We start from the raw sequence: 12,216 nt of genomic DNA on the forward strand, positions 1-12,216 counted from the left end.
CCCTACCTTCCCCAGGTCCTCCATGTGGCACTGCAGGGCACCATTCTTTAGCCCACTGTCTCATTCCTTCACTTGGCTAACTGATGGGAAGAATCTTACCAACTAACTAGTGATGAGGTACTAATTATTTTGAATAGCTTGCTGTACTACACAGTACCAGAGTTTTCTCATCTCCTGTGTAAATACACTTTAACCCAAAGGAATAAATTTATGCCTTTATCCAATAGGAGATCACCTTTTTTTAAAGATACCTTCCCAGTTTTCCTCAAGTCATTCCACACGTACATCCCCCTCACTGTCTTGAGATCGAATGCCGCTTGCTGGTTTGCACTGTGTTTTTCTAGCTACTAAGGCAATGGAGGTTCATATAATGATACAATACCCTGTTACATTTATATGGAGCTGGCCCATTTGTTATTATCCCTATTCAGCCTATAGAATTGTGGGAAATGAACTGTAGGATTTGGAGACCAATAAATTGGTATGGTTTTCAAATTGCCTTATAATTATACTAGAATAATAATTATACTATAATTATTATAATTACACTAGCATATTCCAAATTTTATGTGCAAATTTGTGATGATTGTGCTAGGTGCTAGAATGTGACTAATTTATTAAGAGCTTATCCTGAAAAGTTTAAAATGAAGACTACATGATGTTTTTCTTCTATTGAACTAGGAGCCGAAGCTAATTTTATGCTGAAAGTTCATCCTCTGAAGAAATATCCTGTGGATCTTTATTATCTTGTTGATGTCTCAGCATCAATGCACAATAATATAGAAAAATTAAATTCCGTTGGAAACGATTTATCTAGAAAAATGGCATTTTTCTCCCGTGACTTTCGTCTTGGATTTGGCTCATACGTTGATAAAACAGTTTCACCATACATTAGCATCCACCCCGAAAGGATTCATAATCAATGCAGGTATCTAGGGTTTGATGTGGATATGCTAAATTAATTTTTTGCTTATAAAATCTCACTTTGTTTTTAATGTAAAGAACTTACCAAATTTTATATTTTTATCTTATAAAATAAGAATAAAAATATTTGGTGAGGTGGGGAGGTTTCTTCATATCTGAAAACTTCTGAGATGAACTGTAGATTGGGCTTTTTATTTTATATTTCTTTAAATATTTAGTCAGTTTTTATCACCAAAAAAAACAAAAAAACAAACAAAAAACCCTACCTAATGTTAGTAACTTTGAATGAAGCTTCAATAGTTAGGCTGCCATGTATATAAATACCTCTTTGGAAATTCTGTATTTTTATTTTTTGATTGCTCCAAAATTGCTGAATTATGATTTGACACATTTTAAAGAGTTTGTGCCAACACGTCATCTATCTCTCCATTACTGTACTGTGACTGGGGATAATGATGTTGTCTCCGATGTGACTACAAAGAAATCTCAGTTATCACAAAGAAAGTGGGTCAAAAGATGAGAATTTGATTGCTTAGAAAGAGCCTTTTTTCTTATCATTTTAGATTTCTGATTCTAAATAACATATGTCCCACTATGAAAGAAGAATTAGCCTTAAAAATACAAGTGTCTCACACAATATTGCCATTAGCCTGTGGAATTTTCAGAAAAATAAATCTGTATGGATCTTTTTTCACAAAAGACTTTATCTTTCTTGCTTCTACAAATTGCTTAGATTACTTTACAATACACATTCCAATTTACCGAAACAGCTCTGTCATCTGTTGTACCGGAACAGGATTGATGCATCCATCAATGGAGTTTCATAAGCCTTCTTGAGGTGAATGTACAGGAGGAATCATTCTTACTTTCTGGGTATCATAGATTCTCAAAATAATTTTAATGAATATTGATTGTTCATCAATAATTCCACCAAGCATCACTTTAAAAATTAGTGCAGTATTAAAAAAAACTAATATCATATTTCAACTAAATTCCTCAAAAGCATTTTCCAGAAGTGTTTCTCAGCTGTTCAATGATAAGAAATCACTGCACATTCTTATATTCACCTTAAAAATTCACAGCGCAGATTAAATATTGAAAGCCTTTAACTGTCCTATATTAAAAAACATGTTTAATCATCTTTATTTTTTTGAATACCAAATGCTTATAGTCTTATTTCCTATTTGCAAAGAAATTGTCATCAGCATTGAGCTTATCTCTAATTTTATAAGCATAGATTTTCGTCGTATAAAGTTTCCCTGGCACAAAAGAAGTACTCCCTTTTCACACAACTGTACAATTTTACTGTTAAGTATTCCAGAATGCTTAAGAAGAGCAAAATAAACTTTACACTTCTTCTTTTCCCACACAGTGACTACAATTTAGACTGCATGCCTCCCCATGGATACATCCATGTGCTGTCTTTGACAGAGAACATCACTGAGTTTGAGAAAGCAGTTCATAGACAGAAGATCTCTGGAAACATAGATACACCAGAAGGAGGTTTTGACGCCATGCTTCAGGCAGCTGTCTGTGAAGTAAGACGTTTCACATGATCGAGTGTTTGCTAAGATGCCAAACTTTCAAAGAATTTAGACGTTTTATTTTCTCTTTGATTTGTGGAGTGAAAACGTAGTGTAGAAGAAAACATATCTTACTATCTCTTACTCCTCACCAAGGTGATTCATTTCGGTATGTGTTTGGGACAGAGGGGCTAAATTCAGGGAGGGATTTAAATAGGAAAAGACAAAAGGGAAAGAATAGGTTATGAACGCGAAAATTCTTTCCAAAAGGGCTGCTTTTCTCATGCGCCACACTCCAAGGAGGAACTAGAAGTAGACTGTTGCCCTCCTCACTTCAGCTTGTTCTCCTACTTTTTTTTTTTTTGAGACGGAGTCTCGCTCTGTCGCCCAGGCTGGAGTGCAGTGGCGCCATCTCGGCTCACTGCAAGCTCCGCCTCCCGGGTTCACGCCATTCTCCTGCCTCAGCCTCCCGAGCAGCTGGGACTACAGGCGCCCGCCACCACACCCGGCTAGTTTTTTGTATTTTTAGTAGAGACGGGGTTTCACCGTGTTAGCCAGGATGGTCTCGATTTCCTGACCTCGTGATCCGCCCGCCTCGGCCTCCCAAGGTGCTGGGATTACAGGCATGAGCCACCGTGCCTGGCCTCTCCTACTTTTTAATCTATATTGTTCTTCCTCCAGTGGAACACTAGAAATCTCTAGCCAGGAACTAGTGTGGTCACATGGCTGTGGGAAAATAGAGGATGTACAAATAAAAGTTAAAGCTATTTACGCAGCAGCGTTGTACCCACGCACATCGTTCTAGCCTGACTTACTGTTCGTCAACTCAAACGTAATGTTTACTTGAGGTAAAAACCACAGTACACATCTGTGTTATTGTACAAAGTCTAATTACATGTTTATTTTTAAGAGTCATATCGGATGGCGAAAAGAGGCTAAAAGATTGCTGCTGGTGATGACAGATCAGACGTCTCATCTCGCTCTTGATAGCAAATTGGCAGGCATAGTGGTGCCCAATGACGGAAACTGTCATCTGAAAAACAACGTCTATGTCAAATCGACAACCATGGTAATGCAGCAGTAACCGCTTAGTAGATATGACTCTTTTGGTTAAAGTACAATTTTAAATTGGCAACTCAACTATTTTTGTACCAGGAAATTACCTACAAAAGAAAGATACAGAACAAGGATAAGCCATGAGAGAGAATTTATGGAACAGTGCAATCTATAAATACTGATCAATAAAATATATGAATAAAACAGTTTGACAGTTTCTAGTAGCTGACTCTTTGATGAATGACAAAGCACTGTATAATTTTTGAAAATAAAAATGATACAAGATTTTACTTTTTATGTAATTCTAAGACAGGGGAAAAAAGTATACCTTTGCTTTATACAAATAGACCAGGTCTACGGGGTCGATATCTACAAACATTTTAAGGAGGAAACCTCACAGTACAATAGGTAGAAACTAAATAGAAACCAGGGAAAAAAGACAAGAGAGAAAGAGAGTCAAACAAAGCAGGCTTTCTCTGTTTTGTACTTTACCTCTCTGCATCTTATCTATTTAAGGTCTCTTTTTAAATCAGTGACTATCTGGCTTGCTTCCTGAGGGTTAGTATAAGCTCTGAATCATATATTTAATATAATCACCTAGAACCATATCTTCCCTGGCATTATCTAATTCTAGTTGTGAAGAATCAACAGTCCAAAGCATCATTTACTTCTGATGTTGACACTTATTTATATATTCTTGCATATGTTAAAACAGAACCTCTCCAACTTTCTCAGTTCATGAGACCCTAGTCTCTCAGTGATTTTATTCCATGACACCCGTGGGTCAAAAGAAATACCTAATAGTTCTGTTTTTTTAAGTGGTTAAGTCCAAATAACTCAACTATTTATGTCTTAACAACTTAGTATCTCCTTAAAAATAATACAAATGTATCAAGTGTAGAGATACATGTTTCAGTTTTAGTAAGTAACTTCAGAAATTTTCAAATCCTGAAATCAGATTGGTCATCACTACCCTGATTTCTTCTTCCGTGTTGATTTTCAAGTTGACCAGCTTGGTAAAGATTAATGTCATTTAAAAGAATAGAACGAAATGTAATCTTAAAACTATGAACTCCCTCCAACTAGTTCTTCATTGGTACCTGATACATGCTGAATGTCACTGTATTTCTCTTGAAGATTTAAATTATTTCCTGCCACCCTTGGGAGTGTGCTGCAGTGCACCAAGACACCTCACACACAGTTTGGGAATCACAGTATCAGAAGCATGAAAATTATGCTGAAATTTGTGTGGTTCCCATGGGTAAATTTTAAGTAGATCACCAGTTCATCTGCAATACCCTACCAGATCTGTTGAAATTCTAGAGTGGCAATTGTATTACCATATGAAACAGGTTCAACACTTGGTCATTTTAGTTTCTTGAAAGTAGTATCAAAATATAAAGATTTTAAAAGGTAACTAGAGATTGAATTCAAAAATTCAAGAATTGGAGTTATTCCAATAGTGTCTTTCCATAATTCTCTTCTACTCAGCCTTATTTCACTTTGACAGACCCACCTACTTCTACTTAGTCATTTCTTATCTATCTTTCCTTCTATTTAACCTCTTTTGATTGATGGTAGAGTTCTAATTTATTTATTGGGGAGTAGGAGAGGGTACAGGAAGAATTATTCTATTGTGAGACAAAGAGAAGGTTTTTATTTTTTTAAGAAGAAAATAACAATGACATTATTCTCAAATTGTATTATTCTTTTGAAGTTTTGCCAAGTCACTGAAGTCATCTCTCCATAATTGTATTTAAAAGGATACTATTGCTCATCTAGGGAGGATTTCCTAGGCAAAGAAATGCTGTCATAATTTTAGGCATATACCATGTTATAGAACCTTATGGAAATAAGTTATAAGTCCAGTGGAATTTTAGATAGGGCTTGGATTCTTATGACATCAGGAAATTGGATGATTACATCAAGACCTTTTACCTTCTTGGTCATTGTTCCCAGTATTTAAAGGAGTGACCCTTCCACATGTCACTGCTGTAGTATATTGAGTAATCCAAGGAATAATGTGTTTGTTAACACCTTAGAAGGATACTTTTATTTTATTTACCCCAGGTCTTTGTTTTAAAGGATTATCTTCCTAAAAATTCTCATTCCCTTCATTTGTAGGGTCACTGCCTACATATTAGGTAAAAGAAGCTGAAGCATTTTGATTGATCCCTTGGCCATGAATTTATACATTCAAGATGTGCTCCTGCTTTGGAATGTTCTATATTGAAAGCTACCTTGACTTTGACTCTAGGCATATTTATTTGTGCATTTCAAAATGACCTCTATCCTCCCCTATTTGGCCATTATGGAGGAATTTTAAATTTTGTTTAAGACAAGTAATCAAACACTTTGCTTCTTGGCTTTATCTCCAGCAGCCAATGCCAATAATGTTGAATGGTATCTGAGTTTCTTGATTCAAGAGTCTTGGGGTTTGTATTTATAAAAGGAAACAACTGATTAAAAAACCCTTTATATGTCTAAATTACATGGGACAGAGTTCTGTTGCTTATACATATAGCTATTTCCTGAAGGTCAATGTGAACCCTAGACTAATAACAACTGCCATTTTATTGAGTATGTATTCAACTGAAAGCACTGTAGCAATCACTCTGCATACAGCATCAAATTTATCTTTACAACAACTCTATAAGGTAGTCATAATTAGCCTCCTTTTACAAACAGCAGGACTGAGGGTCAGAAAAGCTAAGTAAGTTGCCTGAGAATAAACAGCTAAAACATTAATAAATTGCAGAGTTGGCCCTAGTCTGTCTCAATCTTATATTAAAATCTGCATTCTTTACTTTGCCACAGTCTGTCGACTGAAATGCAGAAGAAAAAGAAAAATAATGTTCTTGTTGTCATTTCTTGTCTTTCTGGTTGCAGTCTTATGAAAGTATAACCAGATGATTTGACTTGCATAAGTTGTAAAACAACATATAAAATAATTTATATTTACACATTGTGATATTTGTATATGGTTGCTGGCAAATGATGTTACACTATTGAATAAATTACATTTTCCACTGCTTTTTCATCAAGATCAAGTGCCAGAATAAAAAACTGTAGCAATAGTATAGTTTTATGATTTATCCAGTGATAATGACAATTTGAAATGTGACATTCTTTCTAAAATGGCAGATGTTAATACAAAAATTATTAATGATGTAGTAGACTATTAATACTGAGGGTTTGGAATTTCACCCTGTCTCCCCACCCAGCTTCTCCAGGGTTATTTCTACCCTTAGTCAGAGCCCTCCCAGAAACTGTTCACCCACCCCTTGGTGGAGGCCAAGAATAGCATGAAGGTCTTCAGTAACAATGAAAGAAGACCAAGGAACAAGTATGTGGAGGTCATCCAATGAACCTTATCAATGGGATTTTCAGATGTTGATGTGACTCACAGTTTTAAATAGCGAGATTCAAATTGGCAAGATCCTACCACATTCCTATTGTATGTACTAGTGCATACCATATATTCACTAGTATTTACTGGTTTAGGCTTGGTGTTTTTCCATGCAGCCTTTTATATGCCTCATCACATTATGGCCAGTGATTCTTTATCCCTCCTATCATATACCTCCTCAGAATCCCCTTACTGCTGGCTTCATAGTTCATTCCTTTTCCTGCAGGCTCATTTGGATAGGCTAGCTGCTGAGTCGATCAGCATCTTATAGCATGGAGGCAGAATTGCAGAAGGCCTATCAGGCATTAAACAGTTTTGCTTTCTCACTGGCAAAAATAGTCAACACTGTGCCTCTCCTCATGCAACTTTAACATGTACTTGACTTTTAAGTATGCCATTTAGGAAGCTTTCTTTTTACTATGAATCTTATCTACTTGGAATTATACTTAATTTTTCCAGGACTGCAGATGAATAAAGAGAGCTTAAGAAGCTACTTTGCTAATGTAATCCATAACTTTGCTACCTGAGTTAACAAACGTTCATAACACTATTACATTTATTCTTTCTGAAAGGGATATTTCTGACATTTTCAAAGTCTGGAAAACATTTATAACTAATGTTGAGATCAGACAGAATTCCATGTGAGGAGATAATTGTGATCTTTTAATAAAGAGATCTGTTAATTTTGTTTGCTGTTTCCCGACAGAGACGTGGCCTTTTCTACTTCAGAAAATGTTAAATCTTTTTCTGCTTCTCAGGTTTGTCTCAGATGCATACTAATAAAAATGCAAATTCATGGAACACTTATTTTGTGCCAGGTATGGAATACAACTAGAAAGTTTTAAGTCCATGTGCAGCTTTTAAAAACGATTGTTCCATCTTTTGGGGCATCGAAAGACTACAAAGTACCTGATTTCAGCTTGCTGAATGATCTGCTTCAAATTGTAAACACTATGAGAACATTTTTTTTTTTTTGAGACGGAATCTCACTGTGTCGCCCAGGCTGGAGTACAGTGGCACCATCTTGGCTCACTGTAACCTCCGCCTCCCAGGTTCAAGCGATTCTCCTGCCTCAGCCTCCCGAGTAGCTGGGACTACAGGCGCGTGCCACCACACCTGGCTAATTTTTTTTTTTTTTTTTTTTTTTTTGGATTTTTTAGTAGAGACGGGGTTTCACTGTGTTAGCCAGGCTGGTCTAAATCTCCTGACCTCATGATCCACCTGCCTTGGCCTCCCAAAGTGCTGGGATTACAGGCGTGAGCCACTGCGCCTGGCCTGAGAACATTTTAATAGTAATTTTATAGGAGAACTAATTTGAATGCTTCTCATATTCTCAAAAAGAGTGGCCTGGAAAGGATTTCTGCAAACAATATTTAGTAGGAATTGTTTTAATTGAAAGCAAAATTGCATGTAGAAATCACCTGTGCCAGACTCAAAGTAGCCTGGCTCTGCTTGTGTAATGCCTTTCAAATGGGGTAAAATTATGGTTTGCAAAAGTGACACAATAAAATTCAACTTTGATAAAAATTTTTATAGAATGGAATATTCTCATTAAATTAGATGTTGTAGGTAAGTCATACTTAAGCAGAAAGCTTTTTGTTGCCATTATTATTGAAAAACTTACAAAAATCAATGCATACCCTTCTTCAGTAAATAGGGTATCGTGATTACAACTGATGTCATATTTGCCAGGAGCCACAAACTCAAACATCTGCAGGGCCAGGTAAGAAAGATAAGCAAGTGACATAGGTCAAGGAAAGCACATCCAAGAGCATATCTTGCCTTTAGGAAAGGCCTCCAAATCTCTCTTATTAAGCAGTCATTTGTTAAAAACTGTCTTTTCTTGAGCAGACCTATGGTGTTTGTCTCTTTATGTTCAGTTAACAGCATTCAACATTCCAGTGAAATGTAGATATTGCTTTACTTCTACTTTATAAATGAGGAGGGAAAAAGGTGCTAAAGAGATCAGCATCTTGTCTGGAATCACACACCCTTATATAGCAGTGTCCATAGTAGACTTTAAGCTGTTTGACATGAACCGCTACTCATCATTGGTCTTAATAATTACAGAACAGTAAGTGAAGGCTTTACGAAGTTAACCTATTTAATCTCCACCATCTGAGTGGTAGATACTAGTGTTTATACCTGCTTTACACCTATGGAAACTGAATCCCAGCAAGGTTCAGACAGCTGCCCAGTGTCACATAGCTAGTAGTCGCAGAGCCAGAAGTTGAAGCCCAGATGATCTGTTTTCAGAGCCCCTGCTGGTGGTGTGGTTCTCAACTGGAGTGATTTTACCCTCCAGAGGACAATTTCATCAAGTTATGACATTTTGACTGTCATAACTGTGGAAAGAGGGTGCTACTGGCACCTGTTGTGTTGAGACCAGGGTGCTGTTAAACATCCTACAATGCACAGGACAGCCCCTTTGTCAAATAAAAAATATATCCAGCCCAAACTGTCAATAGCACTACTCTTGAGAAACCCTGGTCTATGCAGTTATCACAGTGCAACTATGTAGATACAAAATTAACTATCAGGACAGATGTTGACTGACACATCATTGAAAGTTTCATCTCTAAATAAATGTCTGCTATCTGATTACTTCTATGCTATTTGCCTCTTTCCTCTAAAAAATCACGCAGATAAAAGGTTTTTATTTAAGTTGTTTGGTTTTTATATCTTATTACAATATTCCATACTATAAATTCTATATTCTATTATAAAAATTTATATTATGGATCTCACTTGTATAAAGAGAATCTTAAATGCTTTTTTATCCACGTAGATATACACATTATTAAAATTCTCCCATACATCTGTACACAGTTATCTCTTTACCCAAAATTGCCCCCAATGAATCTTTCTTACCTCTTCTTTCCTTCTGACATTTATAAGTTACTTCCCACAGCCTTAATTACTTAGCAGCTGTCTTGGCACATTGCTTTCCTTCTCCCTTTTGCCCCTGAAGTGCTTGTTATCTCTATTAATTATTTTCAGAGTTTACAGAAACAATATGTAATGGGTTAGACAGAGAGGGAGTTGGAGTTCAGGAGCAGTGATGTCACCAGAACAGGAGAGTTGGCTGAGAGGGAGCGTGTCTCCTGCTAGTGAAATAAAAGATAAAATACTTTTTTGAAGATAGGCTGCTTCATGAAGGAAAGGGGAAGGGGCTTAGGCAATGGTCATTAATCCACAGGTCTTCTGTCAACAGTGGTTTATTTAAACATCTGTTATACATTTGTAATTTTTAAATATCTGCCTTGAGGTACTTGGAATTTTCTTTTAAAAGAGATTTCTCTCTAGGGCTCAAAAAATCTGTTTTTGTAGGCTTGAAAATTCGACTAATCTTTTTTTTTCTTTTTTTTATTATACTTTAAGTTCTGGGATACATATGCAGAATGTGCAGGTTTGTTACCTATGTATACACGTGCCATGGTGGTTTGCTGTAACCATCAACCCATCATCTACATTAGGTATTTCTCCTAATGTTATCCCTCCTCTAGCCCCCCAACCCCTGACAGGCCCTGGTGTATGATGTTCCCCTCCCTGTGTCCATGTGTTCTCATTGTTCATCTCCCACTTATGAGTGAGAACATGCGGTGTTTGTTTTTCTGTTTTCCTTTGTTAGTTTGCTGAGAATGATGGTTTCCAGCTTTATCCATGTCCCTGCAAAGGACATGAACTCACCCTTTTTTATGGCTTCATAGTATTCCGTGGTGTATATGTGCCACATTTTCTTTATCCAGTCTATCATTGATGGGCATTTGGGTTGGTTCCAAGTCTTTGCTATTGTGAACAGTATTGAAATGCATGTGTCTTTATAGTAGAATGATATATAATCCTTTGGGTATATACCCAGTAATGGGATTGCTGGGTCCAATGATATTTCTGGTTCTAGATCCTTGAGGAATCACCACACTGTCTTCCACAATGGTTGGACTAATTTACACTCCCACCAACAGTGTAAAAGCATTCCTATTTTTCCAAATCCTCTCCAGTATCTGTTGTTTCCTGACTTTTTAATGATCGCCATTCTAACTGGCCTGAGATGGTATCTCATTGTGGTTTTGATTTGCATTTCTCTAATGACCACGACTGATCTTCTTAATAAGCTTCTGACCAAACTAGAACTTTCTAGATTTAAGTTTTATGTACATTTGGTCAAAGTGACTTCCTGTTTTTGGAAAGGGGAAGAGATTAAGAAGTCTTCAAAAGCTGCTTACATTTTAGAGTGCCACTTAAATATTGATTTTATGTCAGTTAAGTAAAAGCTGGTTGAAAACATGTATTAAATTGTCCTTAAAATACAAATGTTTCCAAAAATTAAGAAGGGTGAATGCTTAGCAAGCTGTGACTATCTTGTCAAAGCAAAAATACTTGAAAAGCAGTTGTTGTCATTAAAAAATATTTCCAATACAGACAGATTTACCTTGCCTCTGCTTGTTCTCTTTATTCACTAGCATTATGCAAACTGTCATCAATCTATTTTAAGATTATGCCTTTCATTAGGAACAAGTAATAAGAATTTAGCTGGCAGAATTTGTGTTTTTGGAGTTTTTTTTTTTCCATTGCTTTACAATTATATTCTTAAGAATTGCTCTGAGAAAAACTTTTCCTATGCAGACCTACGTGTTAATACTTTTTAAGCTTCTTCATTAGTTGGTTTCATATCATGTGTAAAGGCAACTCATGAAAATTTGATTTGTTTCTATCACAACAATTATAGATGACAGAGAAATAAAGTGTTATTTGTTACTTAGAACTTACGTTATAAGTGAAACTAGTTAGTCTAGCCCTTTTACCAAGTTCACATAGTTGTCACAATACAGAAATGTTTACCAAGTTGGTTTAACAGGATTTTTCCTTAAAGAAAATACAGTTAACATTGGAGAGTGCAGTGGGAAGCAAAAACTATGGAGTAATTTGAACTTAAATGTTATGATACTAATTGGGCTCAGTTACATACTAATCTTTGGCTTATGCCATTAGGCACCAGTGAATGAGGAGAGACTACTGCCAGTGAACTTTAACATCATCTCTCTGATAAGTATCTAGCTATGAACTTGTTATTCGAGACAATCATTTTAATTTCTAGAAGAGTATTTATAGAAAAAATATTACCAATAATATACCTAACTATATAACTCTAGATAGTCATTTATGTAATCATCAGATTTCTCATGTTCTCTAAACTAAATTTTATTTCAATTTTCCTACTCTTCTCTAACTTTCTCATTACCACAAAGAGTGCCACAGTTGGCACAACATAAATTTTATTTATCAAAGTAAAGCAGGTATAAA

The 12,216-nt window shown here is 36.0% G+C and overlaps 1 protein-coding gene across 13 annotated transcripts in view; it reads left to right on the forward strand.

Annotated features, from left to right (window-relative positions):
* ITGB8 (integrin subunit beta 8) overlaps positions 1-12,216 on the forward strand; it is an 85,989-nt gene that overhangs the window by 48,604 nt on the left and 25,169 nt on the right. For all 13 annotated transcript variants that reach the window (XM_011515393.3, XM_017012179.2, XM_047420345.1 and 10 more), the window contains 3 exons: positions 682-928; positions 2,297-2,462; positions 3,358-3,516. In XM_011515393.3, the coding sequence (XP_011513695.1) occupies positions 682-928; positions 2,297-2,462; positions 3,358-3,516 (572 nt within the window). The remainder of the gene's footprint in view (positions 1-681; positions 929-2,296; positions 2,463-3,357; positions 3,517-12,216) is intronic.

This window comes from Homo sapiens, chromosome 7 (genome assembly GCF_000001405.40).
Source record: "Homo sapiens chromosome 7, GRCh38.p14 Primary Assembly".
Classification (NCBI taxonomy): domain Eukaryota; kingdom Metazoa; phylum Chordata; class Mammalia; order Primates; family Hominidae; genus Homo; species Homo sapiens.